Source organism: Homo sapiens, chromosome 12 (genome assembly GCF_000001405.40).
Source record: "Homo sapiens chromosome 12, GRCh38.p14 Primary Assembly".
NCBI lineage: Eukaryota > Metazoa > Chordata > Mammalia > Primates > Hominidae > Homo > Homo sapiens.
In genome coordinates, this window is record NC_000012.12 from 50,509,058 (window position 1) to 50,526,389 (window position 17,332).

At 43.9% G+C, this 17,332-nt stretch overlaps 1 protein-coding gene across 1 annotated transcript in view, besides 5 other annotated features; it reads left to right on the plus strand.

The window, feature by feature from the left end:
• The window catches only part of DIP2B (disco interacting protein 2 homolog B), a 243,673-nt gene that overhangs the window by 4,073 nt on the left and 222,268 nt on the right, over nt 1–17,332 (plus strand). The window lies entirely within an intron of this gene.
• Nucleotides 1,725–1,844: an enhancer, noted in NCBI's record as "active region_6353". NCBI's record gives its function as "activates an Ori minimal core promoter by ATAC-STARR-seq in GM12878 lymphoblastoid cells {active_cell/tissue: GM12878}" and the evidence as "EXISTENCE:reporter gene assay evidence [ECO:0000049][PMID:35858748]".
• Nucleotides 6,703–6,752: a silencer, noted in NCBI's record as "silent region_4453". NCBI's record gives its function as "represses an Ori minimal core promoter by ATAC-STARR-seq in GM12878 lymphoblastoid cells {active_cell/tissue: GM12878}" and the evidence as "EXISTENCE:reporter gene assay evidence [ECO:0000049][PMID:35858748]".
• Nucleotides 8,475–8,524: an enhancer, noted in NCBI's record as "active region_6354". NCBI's record gives its function as "activates an Ori minimal core promoter by ATAC-STARR-seq in GM12878 lymphoblastoid cells {active_cell/tissue: GM12878}" and the evidence as "EXISTENCE:reporter gene assay evidence [ECO:0000049][PMID:35858748]".
• Nucleotides 8,545–8,634: an enhancer, noted in NCBI's record as "active region_6355". NCBI's record gives its function as "activates an Ori minimal core promoter by ATAC-STARR-seq in GM12878 lymphoblastoid cells {active_cell/tissue: GM12878}" and the evidence as "EXISTENCE:reporter gene assay evidence [ECO:0000049][PMID:35858748]".
• Nucleotides 8,695–8,984: an enhancer, noted in NCBI's record as "active region_6356". NCBI's record gives its function as "activates an Ori minimal core promoter by ATAC-STARR-seq in GM12878 lymphoblastoid cells {active_cell/tissue: GM12878}" and the evidence as "EXISTENCE:reporter gene assay evidence [ECO:0000049][PMID:35858748]".

Genomic DNA, 17,332 nt, shown 5'->3' on the forward strand with positions numbered 1-17,332 from the left:
ACTTATGCATTCAGTTCAGCAGATGTGTATTTTGTGCCTACTGTGTGCAAATGAGCAGGATACCCTGGTAGCTTTTAAGAAGCTCTGAGTCTGCCAGGGAAATCATTGAAAACTGCCAACAAAACAGTGCATGACCATGGTGGAGTTATGTACAGAGGCTGCCTTCTAAGAAAAGAGGAAGCTATCTGCTTTATCGTTGTGAGAGATAGAAGAGAATTATAAATACGAGATTGGATTGTGTGGCTAGTAGAGCGGGCTATAATTTAGCCTGTGCAGTTCAGCCATAAGTGCAACGCGAAGAATGTTCCTATACTTCTGTGGCATGCAGGAAGGAGCTCAAGTCTTTCAGTGTCTGAGAACAGTCCAAAGATGACAACTGGAAAGGTATTTAAGATAAAATAACACTCACAGGAAGGGATCCTCCCTTTTCTTGTTTGAACACTTCTCTGAGTACAAACAGTAAACATAGTCCCATCCTCCCTTTCTCCTGTCTGTTTCATCACGTAGCTTTGTGGTCCTTAAAGCATGGCACAGGGTCTGCCACGAAGGCAAAGGGATAAGAGAAGACTGCTTCCTAGGAATTGCAGTGACTTTTAATGGGGAAGAGGTGGGAGAGTTGAAGAGGAAAAAGGAGATGTTGGATAAAGATTTTACAGTCTCAGAAGGGGGCAGTTAGACTTAAGCCACCATAAAACTGGTAAATTCCTCCTGCTTTACCTATCATGGGAAACGGGGCCACTTATCCCAAAATCCGTAGCTTAGTCATAGATTCGTAGGATACACCTTTATCAAAGTTCTGTCTAAGCAGTTGTAACATCTGATGCTAGGAGTATTAAGGAAAGCAGGAATGTAGATTTTTAAATAACCAAGAATGGGCATTATCTAAGTAATCTACCTCCAGAACTTGCATGTGTGTTTTTGGTGGGCAGGAGCTCATCTTCAGAATTACTGTCAGAGCCTGTGACACATTCCTTTGAAAATCCTCATGGTGGCAGATTTCAATTCTTTGAGGGTAAAGTTTCATTTATAGGTCACTTGGAATCAAGTAGAGAAAAGCTGGTTAATATTCTTTTAGAACCCAAACTAGTTGTGACTGAAAAAATTAGAGTGATTATAAACTGATTTTAGTTGTGATTGTCAAAAAAAATCAGAATGATTGTAAACTGGTTTTGAGGGCAGTTCCAGAAGAGAATTTACAGACAAATTCACTGGAAGAATGATTCACCTTATTGAAAAGAGTAGCTTTTATGGATACCCTTGTTCTGGTGTGTATTTTGAAAAATTAATCTTGTTTGACAGCCCCATGGCATTGAGCTGGATTTTTGAATAAGATAAATCATTAATATGTCACGCTTAGCTCAGCCCTTGGTTACAACTTTCTGTCCTAGCCTGTTTAAGACTTAGCACTTCAGGGTTGAAAGTTCATATGACTGGCTAAAAAGGGCCTTCATACTATATTTGTATTCTAATTACTAGAGTTCTCCATGGTTCTCTCTCATGTGACTAATTCAGGGATACTCTTTGAAATGCTCCTTCTTGCTTATATGCACAGTTTCTCGCAAATCTTTAAGGGTTCAGCTAAAGTACCACCTTTTTTTTTTTTTTGAGACGGAGTTTCACTCTTGTTGCCCAGGCTGGAGTGTAATGGCACGATCTCAGCTCACCGCAACCTCCACCTCCTGGGTTCAAGCGATTCTTCTGCCTCAGCCTCCTGAGTAGCTGGGATTACAGGCATGTGCCACCACGCCTGGCTAATTTTGTATTTTTAGTAGAAATGGGGTTTCCCTATGTTGGTCAGGCTGGTCTTGAACTCCCGACCTCAGGTGATCCGCCCACCTCGGCCTCCCAAAGTGCTGGGATTACAGGCATGAGCCACTGCGCCTGGCTTTCTTTTTTTTTTTTTTTTGAGACGGAGTCTCTCCCTGTCACCCGTGCTGGAGTGCACTGGCATGATCTCGGCTCACTGCAACCTCTGCCTCCTGGGTTCAAGGGATTCTCCAGCCTCAGCCTCCCAAGTAGCTGGGATTACAGGCGCCCTCCACCATGCCCAGCTAATTTTTTGTGTCTTTAGTAGAGATAGGGTTTCACCAGTTGACCAGGCTGGTCTCGAACTCTTGACCTTGTGATCCGCCTGCTTTGTCCTCGCAAAGTGCTGGGATTACAGGTGTGAGCCACTGTGCCAGGCTCAAGTACCACCTTTTTTGTAAACCTATCCCTGACCAGTGTGATTTCTATTTTTTTTTTTTTTTTTTTTTGAGACAGGGTCTCACTCTGTTGCTCAGACTGTGCAGTGGCACGACCTTGGCTCACCACAACCCCCGCCTTCCGGGCTCAAGCGATTCTCCTGCCTCAGCCTCCCCAATAGCTGGGACTACAGGCAAATGTCACTACCGTCTGGCTAATTTTTATATTTTTGGTAGAGACGGGGTTTCACTATGTTGGCCAGGCTAGTCTTAAACTCCTGACCTCAAATGATCCACCTGCCTTGGTCTCCCAAAGTGCTGGGATTACAGGCATGAGCCACCAGGCCGGGCCAATCATGTATTTTCTAAGTATTTAAATTGCTTTTCATTTTATCTCTTAAAAAAATTTTTTTTAAAGTAGAAATGAGGCCAGGCGCAGTGGCTCACACCTGTAATCCCAGCACTTTGGGAGGCCGAGGAGGGCGGATCACAAGGTCAAGAGATCAAGACCATCCTGGCCAACGTGGTGAAATCTTGTCTCTACTAAAAATACAAAAATTAGCTCGGCGTGGTGGCTTGCACCTGTAGTCCCAGCTACTCGGGAAGCTGAGGCAGGAGAATTGCTTGAACTCAGGAGGCAGATGTTGCAGTGAGCCGAGATCGCGTCACTGCACTCCAGCCTGGCAACAGAGCAAGACTCCGTCTCAAAAAAAAAAAAAAAAAAAAAAAAAGTAGAGACAAGGTCTTACTATGTTCAGCCCAGGCTGGTCTCAAAGTCCTGAGCTCCTTTTACCTTGGCTCCCCCAAAGTGCTGAGATTATAGGTATGAGCCAGCCACCAAGTCTCGCCTTAGCTCAATGTAAGCTCTTTTTTTTTTTTTTTTTGAGATAGAGTCTTGCTCTGTCCCCCAGGCTGGAGTACAGTGGCGTGATCTCTGCTCACTGCAACCTCCACCTCCTGGGTTCAAGTGATTCTCCTGCTTCAGCCTACTGAGTAGCTGGGATTACAGGCTTGTGCCACCACGCCCGGCTAATTTTTGTATTTTTAGTAGAGACGGGGTTTCACTATCTTGGCCAGGCTGCTCTCAAACTCCTGACCTCCGGTGATCTGCCCGCATCGGCCTCCCAGAGTCCCGGGATTACAGGCTTGAGCCACTGCACCCAGCGTCAATGTATGCTCTTGTAGAGAGGTCCTTTGTATCTGAAATTTATTTTAAATAACTCACAACTATTTATTTCTTATATTGTTTTAGGAATACGATAAATTTTTGGTCACTTCAATTTGAATTGAAAAATAAAGTCTCAGTTTTGGGGACTTGATTTTGACATAAGGTAGTGTTGTATAATCATTTGAGAAGCACATATTTTGACATCTGGTGGGCCTGGGTTGAAGTTCTGTCTGTACCATTTATTAGCTCTGTGACTTTGGACAAACTGTCTAACCTCCCAGGTATGAGTTTCATCAACATTTAAAAAGGAATGACGGTGGTGTGCAGTGGCTCCCGCCTGTAATCCCAGCACTTTGGGAGGCGGAGCCGGGTGGATTGCCTGAGCTCAGGAGTTCGAGACCAGCCTGGGCAACATGGTGAAACCCCGTCTCTACTAAAATACAAAAAAATTAGCCGGGCGTGGCGGCATGCACCTGTAGTCCCAGCTACTCGGGAGGCTGAGGCAGGAGAATTGCTTGAACCCGGGAGGCGGAGGTTGCAGTGAGCTAGGACCGCACCACTGCACTCCAGCCTGGGCGACAGAGCGAGACACCATCTCAACAACAACAACAAAAAGGAATGACACCCTCCTTGGAGTTGTAAGGAGGTTTAAAGTAAGATAATAGAAAAGCTGAGTATAGTATGGCGTGCGGTGAGCACTCAGCACATGTAATCTTTATTGCTGCTGATAGTGAATGGATGCGTGGAGACTTGGCAGTTTTTAATATCTTGTGTTACTTAGTAGAATAAGGTTATATATGAAGTGATGAATGGAATCAATTTGTGATAAATTTTTTGAAAGTAAGCCTTCACTCCATCATCAGTTGTTCCTGTTGGCACCTATACCCTATACCCTTAGTCCAGTACATGTTGGGTCACTGCAAGCAGTTGACTAGAGCAGAAGACTTGCTGGTCTGTTTCATACAGACATCTCGCATATGTACATTTCTGAGCCTACAGATTCAGGCAAATGCCTGTGACATATAAGCTTGGTTTCTGAGACTTAGCATCTACAAGCTATGAAAAGGGACATATGGATGTTTAGAACCTTCAGAAACGATGGTTTTTACTCTTCCGTTTCATATCCCTCACTTGTCCTCAGTGAACATATCCTTCCTTTTAGTTCCTCTTTCAAAAGTTTTCTGGCTGGGTGTGGTGGCTCACGCCTGCAATCCCAATACTTTGGGAGGCTGAGGTGGGCAGATCACCTGAGGACAGGAGTTTGAGACCAGCCTGGCTAACATGGTGAAACCCCGTCTCTACTAAAAATACACAAACTAGCCGGGCATGGTGGCAGGCGCCTGTAATCCCAACTACTCGGGAGGCTGTGGCAGGAGAATTGCTTGAACCTGGGAGGCGGAGGTTGCAGTGAGCTGAGATCATGCCACTGCACTCCAGCCTGGGAGATAGAGTGGGACTCCGTCTCAAAAAAAAAAAAAAAAGTGTTCTTGATCTTCTTTTCCCTAGAGTTTATTTACCACCAGCCTCCGTGAGTCCTCTCAGACTTAATTGGTCTGATTGTAGTCTCTTTTTAGCTCTAGATTGATCTTTCATCTTTTAAAAATACTACTTTTATTTAAAACCATTGCTAAATCTAAAGCTCTGTCACTCAGTTGTCTTTTTTTTTTTTTTTTTGAGACGGAGTTTCGCTCTTGTTGCTCAGGCTGGAGTGCAATGGCATGATCTCAGCTCACCATAACCTCCGCCTCCCGGGTTCAAGCGATTCTCCTGCCTCAGCCTTCTGAGTAGCTGGGATTACAGGCATGCACCATTGGGCCCAGCTAATTTTGTAGTTTTAGTAGAGACGGGGTTTCTCTATGTTGGTCAGGCTGGTCGCGAACTCCCAACCTCAGGTGATCCGCCCACCTCTGCTTCCCAAAGTGCTGGGATTACAGGTGTGAGCCACTGCACCCGGTTGCATTATCACCTTTCATTCTCACTAGTTTATAAGGAAGACCAGACTCCCTCAGCTTCCCTCCCTAACACTTGGCAGACTCATCTGTATCAGTTCCACCCGTATCTCCTTTCTTTTCTCAGAGGAGGAACTGTCCTCTTCCTGTTCGAAGGTCTGTCCCTCCATGTTCTTACTCTCATCTCTTCTCTTTTGAGATCTTGGGATCTCACTTTATTGATTGATCTGTTCATTTACAGTCTCTCTTTGTTTCTTTCATCTTCAACCTCTCACTTAACACTTGGCCCTTGACTCTTTGCCTTCAGCCTATACATTATGTTTTTGAAACAGGGTCTCACTCTGTTGCCCAGGCTGCAGTGTAGTGGGGTGCTCACTGCAGCCTTGACTTCCTGGGCTCAAGTGATCCTCCCACCTCAGCCTCTCAAGTAGCTGGGACTACAGGTACATTCCACCATGCCCGGCTAATTTTTAAGTTTTTTGTAGCAACAAGGTCTTGCTTTGTTGCCCAGGCTGATCTTGAACTCCTGGGCTCAAATAATCTTCCCACCTCAGCCTCCCAGAACATTAGGATTACACGCGTGAGCCACCATGCCCAGCCTTCCAGCTTTAAAAAAAACACACACAAAACTTTGCCACAGTGTTGCATGAGAATATGCTTGCTTTCATGTGCTGGCCCTCTCTCCCTCTCTCGAGCCTGAAAGGTGTGGCCTACATTTCCTTCCTCTTATTTCTTACCTTTGCTTAGTGCTCAGTCCATTTCCCCTGCCTCATTAAGCTTCTGAAACAACTGTCTCCAAGGCTACCACTGACTCCTAATTTCAGACTGCAGAGAACCTGCTGGATATGGCATCTCTCTCTGCAGCATTGTACACTGTGGACCTTTTTTTTTTTTTTTTATGGAATCTCACCCTGTTTCCTAGGCTGGAGTGCAATGGCACAATCTCAGCTCACTGCAACCCCCTCTCCCGGGTTAAAACAATTCTGCCTCAGCCTCCCAAGTAGCTGGGATTAACAGGCGCCTGCCACCACGCCCAGCTAATTTTTGTATTTTAGTAGAGATGGGGTTTCACCATGTTGGTCAGGCTAGTCTCAAACTCCTGACCTCGTGATCCGCCTGCCTTGGCCTCCAAAATGCTGGAATTACAGGTGTGAGCCACCATGCCCAGCCCTACACTGTGGACTGGTATCTTTATGAAACTCTCCCCTTCCTAACCTTTGTGGCATAGTTTCCTTCTGGCTTCCTAACCTTCCTCGTGCTCTCTCTGGGGTTTCTTCTACTCTTTCTTTCTCCTGATGAGGGTATTCCTCAGATTTGTGTCTGTTCTTCACCTCACTTTACATACAGAGATAAGTAATCTTATCTGTGCCCAGGGCTTCAGCTGTCATGGCTGTGCACGTGGTTCCCTAGTCTGTATCTGTAGCCCTGACTTGCCTCTGCTCTAGACATTCCATTGGTTCCCCCATGCTAACTTGGTAAGTCTAAAACAACTCTGTTTCAACTTCCTCCTCCACCCCTGCCCCCACCTCCCTGCTTCACAGATAACTGTATTTCAGAATGTCCACTTACTATCTCCATCCATTTCTGCTGCTATGACAAAATACCTTAGACTTGGTAAATTATAAATGATAGAAATTTATTGCTCACAGTTTGGAAGCTAGGAAGTCATAGATCAAGAAGTCAGAAGATTTATTGTCTGATGAGAGCCTGCTGTCTACTTCAAAGATGGCACCTTCTTGTTGCATCTTCACATGGTGGGAGGGGCAAACAGGCTCCCTCAAGCTTGTTTTATAAGGGCACTAAGCCTGTTCATGAGCACTCCTCTTTCATGACCTAATCACCTCCTAGAGGCACCATCTCTCTCTCTCTCTCTCTCTCTCTCTCTCTCTATCTCTATCTCTATCTCTATCTCTATATCGAGAGAGTCTTGCTCGTCACCAAGGCTGGAGTGCAGTGGCGAGATCATAGCTCACAGTAGCCTTGGATTCCTGGGCTTAAGCGATCCTCCCACCTCAGCCTCCCAAGTAGCTGGGATTACAGGCGTGTGCCACCACACCTGGCTGATTTTTTATTTTTTGTAGAGATGGGGTCTCGTTATGTTTCCCAGACTGGTCTCAAACCCCTGGCCATGAATGATACTCCCACCTTGGCCTCCCAAAGTGCAGAGATTATGACTGTGAGCCACTGTGCCTGGACCCCATCTCTTAATACTATCACATTGGGAATTAAGTTCCAACATAGGAATTTTTGGGGGACACTGACATTCAGACCATAGTAACTTACCAAAGTCAAAAAAATTGAGAGTCATCCTTATATTCTAAAAATATTTTGTTTTGGCCGGACACGGTGGCTCATGCTTATAATCCCAGCACTTTGGGAGGCCAAGGTGGGCGGATCACCTGAGGTCAGGAGTTCGAGACCAGCCTGGCCAACATGGCGAAACCCTATCAGTACTAAAAATGCAAAAATTAGCTGGGTGTGGTGGCGGGTGCCTGTAATCCCAGCTACTCAGGAGGCTAGGCTGAGTTAGGAGAATTGCTTGAGCCCAGGAGACGGAGGTTGCAGTGAGCAGGGATCACAGTGAGCCAAGATCGTGCCACTGCACTCCAGCCTGGGCGACAGAGCAAGACTCTGTCTCAAAATCCGCCTCCCGGGTTCACGCCATTCTCCTGCCTTAGCCTCCTGAGTAGCTGGGACTACAGGTGCCCGCCACCACGCCCGGCTAATTTTTTTGTATTTTTTTAGTAGAGATGGGGTTTCACCGTGTTAGCCAGGATGGTCTCGATCTTCTGACCTCGTGATCCACCTGCCTTGGCCTCCCAAAGTGCTGGGATTACAGGCGTGAGCCACCGCACCCGACCAAAAAATTTGTTTTAATTAGATTTTTTTTTTTAAATTAAATAGAGATGGGGTTTTGCATTGTTTCCCAGGCTGATCTCACTCCTGGGCTAAGGTGATCCACCCGTCTTGACCTCCCAAAGTGCTGAGATTACAGGTGTGAGCCACCTTGCCCAGTGATCCATATTCTAATGGATCACTGAGTCTTGTTGTTTCTACTTCCTGTTCTCCATATCATTCCAGTGTTAGTTCAGGCACTTATTTCTTGCTTAGACTAATGAGGTAGTCTCCTAACTCATCAGCCTGTCTCGGTCTCTTCTCCCTTCAGTAGGTCTTTCTCTACCCTGTCACTGATTGATCATTCTGAAACACAAACCTAATTGTGTTCTCTTCCCTGTTTAAAAGTTTTCCTTGGCTTCTCTCAGTCACAGGATAAACTCTAAGCATCTTTCTTTGTATACCAAGACCTGCCTGCCTTTTTACCCTCATTTCCTGCTCTGTCTATATTTGTTGTCTGCTCTCTAGCCATGCCAGATGACTTGCACTTCCATGAATGCACTGTGCTTTTTTTCACTTGTATGCTTTTGTATACATTGCCATTCTCTAAAATGTCCACTCTGGTATGTTCTTCCCCTTTTTTTGCCCGGTTAACTTCTGTTTCAGTTTCCTGTGAGTTTCCAGTTAACTTCTGTTTCGTTCCAGTTTCCTTTTCTAAGCTCTTTTAAGAAGTTAAATCTCTGTATAAGTAGTCATCAGTTATTGAGAGCTTATGATGTAATAGGTCCTGTGCTTAGCACTTCATATACCTTGCCTGGCTAGTAAGTAGGTGCTGAATACATAGCTCCTATTAGCATAATGATGATGAGGGAACTGAGGTAGCAAAAAGCACCTAAACATTGCATACAATGTATCTTCCCACCTGTGGTTACACATTTCCCATAAGGTAGCATTCTGGACGCATGGCACTGGGAAGGAGCACTGAATTTAGGAGTCATGCTGAATTGGGTTCACATATGGTCTTGGGCAACTTTTTTTTTTTTTTTTTTGAGACAGAATCTCTCTCTTATTGCCCAGGCTGGAGTGCAATAGTGCGACCTCAGCTCGCTGCAAGCTCCGCCCCCTGGGTTCAAGCGATTCTGCTTCTTCAGCCTCCCGAGTAGCTGGGATTACAGGCACCCGCTACCATGCCCGGCTAATTTTTGTATTTTAGTAGAGATGGACTTTCACCATGTTGGCCAGGCTGACCTCAAGTGATCGCCCACCCCGGCCTCCCAAAGTACTGGGATTACAGGCGTGAGCCACAACGCCCGGCCCTTGGGCAAGTCTTTGAAATGTGTTTCTAATCTTAACAACTCCTAGAGATAGGTGTGCAGTTTCTGTACAGTGTGCTGGGATTGGAAACCAAGTCTGTTTGGTTCTAAGCCCTGTGGTGTTTCCACACAGCCATTTTGACCTCCATCTCCCTGAATCTTGTTTCAAGTAGTTTCAGCAGAATTCTCCTGCATCTTAACTGGTATGTCTCATTTTCCTTAGGATACAACTTCTGTCTTTTTTTGTTTGTTTTTGTTTGTTTTTTTGAGACAAGGTCTTGGTCTGTCCCCTAAGCTAGAGTGCTGTGGCATGATCTTAGCTCACTGCAACCTCAAACTTCTGTACACAAGCAATCCTCCAAGTAGCTGGGATTACAGGTCCATGTCACCATGCCTGGCTAATTTTTTATTTTTTGTAGAGACAGGGGTCTCACTTTGTTGCTGCCCAGGCTGGTCTTGAACTCCCGGGCTCAAGCAGTCCTCCTGCCTTGGCTGCCCAAAGTTCTGGGATTACAGGCATGAACCACTGCATCTGGCCACAGCTTCTGCGTTTATTTTTTTGGGGGGTAGGGCTCCCTGGAGGGAGAAGAATGGGAATGTTCTATCTTATTCTCAGAGAAAAAGGTATAGGGGTGTAATTTGTTATTTCTTACCATGCTTTGCAGGAACTAAAGGGGTTAACACTCTGTAGATTATATTTGGAGGGTTTCCTTCATACCAGTATAACTACTGGCAAGATGTGACTTTTATTTCTTTTCTTATTTCTTAAAATTTTTTTAGAGATGGGGTCTCACTGTATTGCCCAGGTTCGCCTTAAACTCCTGGGCTCAAGCGATCCTCCCTCCTTGGCCTCCCAAAGTGTTGGGATTACAGGCATGAGCCACTATGCTGAGCCTCTTTTATTTTTTTTAAAAGAATGAAAAATATGAAGTGCATCTATAAAGTGAAAGGTAATTTTATGTACTTGTCTTTTGTTGTGAAGTTACTTTTTCTTCCTTGAATTGAGATGGAGATGATGAGAAGCTGAAAGGGGAAACCCAGGATGATAATATTTTGGATGCTACATGGGACAGCCCTAAATGAAAATTCACAGGTCTAGCCTAGCATCTTTGAAAGGTCTGTGTTGTGAACAGGCCTCGAGCTTCTGGGTTATTGATTCTGGGTTGTACTTACATGGTGATGCAGAAAGAGTTTTTAGTCTTTTTTCCCCCAGGATATTTAATGTTTAATGTAAAAATTAATGTATAAATGAACATAGATGCTTCTGTGAATGACATGTACTTTAATTGGTTTTTCTTGGAGGTTTTTTTTTTTGTGGTGAAGAAATAGTGCTCTAATACCCTTTATTTTTGGAGGACTGTTGCTTTTAGGCATACATTAAAGCATCTGCAAGATTTTTTTTTCTTTTTCTTTCTAAGAATTTAAGATCATATTGTTGTAAGTTAATCATGGGCCAGAACTTATGGCTTTTAATTCAGTTCAGATATGAATAAATTTTATAGTGCTGACCAGTCTTGTCATTGAATCTCCTTTTTTTTTTTTTTTTTTTTTGAGACAATGTCTTACTTGTCACCCAGGCTGGAGTGCAGTGACATGATCTCGGCTCACTGCAGCCTCCGCCTCCTGGGTTCAAGCCATTGTCCTGCCTCAGCCTCCCCAGTAGCTGAGACTACAGGTGTGCACCACCATGCTCAGCTAATTTTTGTATTTTTAGTGGAGACAGGGTTTCACCGTGTTGGCCAGGCTGGTCTCAAACTCGTGACCTCGTGATCTGCCCGCCTCGGCCTTCCAAAGTGCGGGGACTACAGGCGTGAGCCACCGTACCCGGCCTGAATCTCCTTTTAAAAAAAATCAACCCAGCAAGGAATTGTTAGGTAGAAGCTTCTGATAGTTCTTGTTTAGTAAATCTGTGACAAAGGCAAAGACACTGTCTTAAAATTTTAAAAAGTCATTCATGATTTATTTGACTTCCTCTCTGGTTTGGAGAAACTTTCATTTTTAAGTTGAACATGTAGAACAAGCAGTGGTATGAGTTTTCCTTCCATAGTTCTTTGCTTGTTTTTCTTCAAGAAGACCAAGAGAAGTACTAGAAAATGAACATCCTGTTAAAAAAACAACTTCTCCATTTGTCGGTTCTCTGAGCTCTGATTTCTAATGTTACCCCTATATCATAGCTATTTTTAAAATTATCTTAAAGTTAGGAAATTATTATTTGCATAAATATTCTCATCTCCCCTAAGTAAGCTGCATGAGGACAGCATGCAGTGTTCTTTAGTGAAAATGCTTTTCGGTTCAGCTAGTGAATGAATCTAGATTCTGCCATCAGCCTCCCTATCTACCTTTTTTCTTACTAGTATCTGACACTCTTCTATTACAATCATATGGGTTTCCTCACTCTTTCTTGGCAAGCTCATTCCTGTCTCTGCATTTGTAGCGAGTATTTTCCCTGTCAGGACTGCTTTTTCTCCTATTAAAATCCAACCCTTGTTTCAAGGCCTGGTTGACGTTCCTCTCATCATGAAACCTGCTGACTGCTTTAGTCCATATTAATCTCTTCTATTTTTAGACTATTGTTATATTCAGCAACAGTTTTTTTTTTTTTTTTTTTTTTTTTAATTTGAGATGGAGTCTCCCTCTGTCGCCCAGGCTGGAGTACAGTGGCGCGATGTCAGGTCACTGCAACCTCTGCCTCCCGGGTTTAATCGATTCTCCTGCCTCAGCCTCCTGAGTAGCTGAGATTACAGGCGCACACCCCCACACCCTGCTAATTTTTGTATTTTTAGTAGAGAGGGGGTTTCACCATGTTGGTCAAGCTGGTCTTGAACTCTTGACCTCGTGATCCACCCGCCTCAGCCTCCCAAAGTGCTGGGATTATAGGCATGAGCCACTGTGCCCAGCTCAGCAACAGTTTTAACTCTTAATTTGCCACTGTTTGTTTCATTTATGTTATTTTTACCTTCTCAGTTAGACTTCAGGTTTCTTTCTTTTTTTTTTTTTTTTTTTTGAGATGGAGTCTCACACTCTGTTGCCAGGCTAGAGTGCAGTGGCCCCATCTCAGCTCACTGCAACCTCCATCTCCCAGGTTCAAGTGATTCTTGTGCCTCAGCCTCCTGAGTAGCTAGAATTACAGGCACCTGTCACCATCACGCCCAGCTAATTTTTGTATTTTCAGTAGAGACGGGGTTTCTCCGTGTTAGCCAGGCTGGTCTTGAACTCCTGACCTCAAGTGATCCACTCCAACCGCCCCTCCGCCCTTGGCCTCCCAAAGTGTTGGGATTACAGGTGTGAGTCACTGTGCCTGGCTTAATTTTTGTATTTTTTGTAGAGATAGGGTTTTGCTATGTTGCCCAGGCTTCTTGAACTCCTGGGCTCAAGGATTCACCTGCCTTGGCCTCCCAGAGTGTTGAGATTACAGGCATGAGCCACCACGCCCAGCCCCCAAACATTTTTTATTTAATTTATTTTATTTTTTATTTTTTATTTTATTATTGTATATTTTATTATTATTTTTTTAAGATAGAGTCTTGCTCTGTCACCCAGACTGGAGTGCAGTGGCACAATCTTGGCTCACTGCAACCTCCGTGTCCGGGGTTCAAGTGATTCCCCTGCCTCAGCCCGCTGAGTAGCTGGGATTACAGGTATGTGCCACCACACCCAGCTAATTTTTATATTTTTGGTAGAGACGGGGTTTTACCATATTGATCAGGCTAGTCTCGAGCTCCTGACCTCAAGTGATCCACACGCCTTGGCCTCCCAAAGTGCTGGAATTACAGGTGTGAGCCACCACACCCGGCCACATTTTTGAAAAATGGAAAGAAAGATTAATAAAAACAACAGGATAATTATTTATCTGGTTATTCCAGTTCAGGGTCTGGGAAGGCAGGAACCTATCCCAGCAGCTCAGGGTACAAGACGGGAACCAGCCCTGGAAAGGACTTTCCATTGCAGGGCGCACACATACATACACACACTCACTTAGACTGGGACAATTAAATGTGCCAGTTCACCTAATGGATGCATCTTTGGGGTATGGGGGAAACTAGAGTACCTGGAGAAAACCTACACAGACATGGGGAGAACGTGCAAACGCCACACAGATAGTGGCCCTGGCTGGGAATTGATTTTTTTGTTTTTCTTTTCAGCCTCTTTATAACATAACATTGAGTAAAATAAGGTTACTTCAGGTCCTGCTTGTATATACATAGTATATATTGAGAATGACAAGGAATGTGTGATATAAATGCTAAGTAAGAATCCAGAAGAAACATATTGCAAGAGAAAACCTAGTCGTCTGAAAGAAACATTCCCAGTGATTTCAGCAGAACTCAGATGTTGGACAGGGTAATGTGGTGGATAGGTGGTAAGTAAAAGCATTATTTGATGTCACTGGGATATTGGCAGGGGAAGAATGGGAATTAACTGCATTGGTGAGGAGAAAAATATTTTATTTATAAAAGTGTTAAAAATTATAAAATATTTCCTGGAATATATTTGGGAAAAAGAGAAAAATTATACAATACTTAAATATTGTAAGAAAGACATAAGATCTGTATGAAGAAAATTGTAAAACTTTAAAGATATAAAAGCAGAATCTGAAAAAATGGAAATATATACAGTTGTTCCTTTCTTCGTAGGGGATTGGTTCCGGGACTCCCCTCAGTTACCAAAATCCAAGGGTGCTCAAGTCTGCTAAAAAATGGCATGGTATTTGCATGTAACGTAAGCACATCCTCTTGTTTAAATCAACTCTAGATTACTTATATACTTGTATAGTACCTAATACAGTGAAAATACTATGTCAATAGTTGTTATTCTTTATAATTCAGAGAGTGATGACAGGAAAAAAAAAATCTGTACATGTTCAGTACAGATGGCTTTTTTTCCTCCACCTATTTTCACTTAGAGGTTTGTTTAATCCATGGATGTGGAACCCAAAGATATGGACGGGCCAACTGTACTGTGTTCCTGAATGAGAAGACTGATATATATAAATTTAATGGGAGTCCAATTAGAACTCCAATGGAAGATTCTTTAGGGAATGGAGAATTAGATAAAATGATCTTAGTGTTCACATGGAAGAATAAATAGAATAGCCAAGAAAATTTAGAAACGGAATAGTGAGGTGATACTTGGCCTTACCACATATTAAAACAGATTCTAAAGTTACTGTATTCAAAGCAGTATGGTATTAGCTTTAAAACAGGATGAATGGACAGAATACTATGCCCAAATTCTTATATATATAGGAAAACAATTACGTGTGAAAACATACAAGTTGTATTAGCTTAGTTCAGTTGTCTTCCCAATTTCCTCAAATTATAAAATATTTTAAAATAAATTTACTAGGACTCCATAGGACATCAGAATAGAGAACTTGTTGATATTCTGTTTATCCTGTCAGGAGGAGTACACTGGAGCTAGAAAGAAAAGCCTCTTCCTGCAATGTCTTTCCAGTGCCCTCTATGGACAGGCAAAGTTTAACATCATGGCAGCTGTCAAAGGAAAAATATTTAAAGGGCCCATCTCAGTTTTCACAGAGCAGCGAGGGTATATTTGGAGCTGAAAGGCCATAAATTGATAACACATCCTTGATTCCTCTCCTTCAGGCCACCTCTCTGTATCAAGTCCATCAGTGAGCCTTTTTGGTACTACCTTGAGAATATATTCTAAATCTACTTCTTTCCATGCCGAGTCACTGTTAATCATGCCCATGTCATCACATCTCTTGCTTCTTTAGCTCCTTACCTGGTGGTGTCCCAGCTTTCTTCTCTCTAACCCATTTTCCACATAGCAGGTAGAGAGCTTTTTAAACTGCAAATTAGGTCATATTACTTCCCCGCTTTATAGCTCTTCCATGAATTCAGTTTGTCTTTAAAATATAATTCAGATACGTTTCCATGGCCTGCAAGACCTACACCGCCCTGACCCCTCATCTTTTCCCCTCACCCATTGTGCTTCAGCCACATTGGCTGACTCTTCTTTCTCTTTTCCTTCCTCCCTTCTCTCCTTCCCTATTCTTCCCTCTCCTCTCCACCTGTCTCCCTGCCTCCCTCCATCCTCCCGCTTCCCTCTTCCTTTTTTTAATTTATCTGGTGTTTATTGAGTGCCTACTATGTGCCACATAGGTGCAGGTGATACAGCAGTGATTAACATGACAAACACCCCTCCCCTTAGGGGGCTTACATCTGTAGCTGTAGACAGAGAATAACAAGTAATATGTATTGCTTGTTAGATGGTAAAAATTTATTGTTATTTTTTTTGAGACAGGTTGGAGTGTAGTGGTGTGATCATGGCTCAACTGCAGCTTCCTCTTCCTGGGCTCAAGAGATCCTCCCCCTCAGCCTGCTGAGTAGCTAGGACTCCAGGCCTGTGCCACCATGCCCGCCTAATTTTTATTTTTTGTAGATACAGGGTCTTGCCATGTTTCCCAGGCTAGTCTCAAATTCTTGGGCTCGAGCAATCCTCTTGCCTTGGTGCCCTGCAGAGTGTTGGGATTACAGGTGTGAGCCTCTGTGCCTGGCCATTTGGTAAAAATTTCAATGGAGAAAAAGCATCAAGAGGGACAGAGAAGGCTGGGCACGGTGGCTCACACCTGTAATCCCAGCACTTTGGGAGGCCGAGGCGGGCAGATCACGAGGTCAGGAGATTGAGACCATCCTGGCTAACATGGTGAAACCCCATCTCTACTAAAAATACAAAAAAATTAGCTGGGTGTGGTGTTGGGCGCCTGTAGTCCCAGCTACTTGGAAGGCTGAGGCAGGAGAATGGCGTGAACCCGGGAGGCGGAGCTTGCAGTGAGCCGAAAGCGGGCCACTGCACTCCAGCCTGGGCGACAGAGCGAGACTCCATCTCAAAAAAAAAAAAAAAAAATACAGAGAATACCGGTAGAGGGTTATTGGGCACAATTTAAAAGAGGGTGGTCATCATGAGATGATACTTTGAACAAAATAGGCATTTCTTTTCTTCCTTGAACTCAACCGTGATGCATGTTGCTGCCTCTAGGTCCCCTTTTTTTTTTTTTTTTTGAGACAGAGTCTCACTCTCTCATCCAGGCTGGAGTGCAGTGGTGTACATGGAGCTCACTGCAGCCTTGACCTCCCAGGCTCAAGAGATCCTCCCACCTCAGCCTCCCTAGTAGCTGAGACTATAGGTTTGCACTATCACACCTTGCTAATTTTTTTATATTTTGTAGCTACAGGATCTCACTCTGTTGCCCAGACTTGTCTTGAACTCCTGGGCTCAAGCCATCCTCCCACCTTGGCCTCCCAAAGTGCCGGGGTTGCAGGTGTGAACCACCATGCCTGGCCACCTCTATGTCTTGTTCCTTGCTTTTCTTCTTCCTAGAATGTTCTGCTCCAACTTAGTCTCAGTTCAAAGTTAACCTCCTTAGAGAACCTCCAAGGTTAAATTAGCAACCCCTCCCATCATTCTTCATCTCACCACTCTCTTTTACTTTCTTTTTTTCCTGTTTAAAATTTTCTAATTAATACCAACATTTGAAATGATCTTGTTCATATATTAATATGATTGGATTCTTCCTCAGTAAAATGTTTGTTTTTTGAGTGCAGAGATTTTACTGTCTTGTTCCCTGCTGTCTCTCTAGTGCCTAGAATAGAAGACTCAATAGACACTTGTTCAGTGAACAAATGGACTTTGCAGGGAGAAGATTCCAATGGAATTCTTTAGATGGTGGCAGCTTTAAAGAGTAAAGAAGTGTAGGCTCTGTCCCCAGGGTCTCTGCCAGGAAGGATGGGGACCCCTGTGGAAGCTGGTGAGAGCTGCCCCTCAGGGGCCTATGTGTTTCCTGGCATTTGGTTTTTAATGTTTGCTTGTTTGTTTTTCCCTTATTTTCCTCACTATATACCCTCTGATTTTTACACTTGA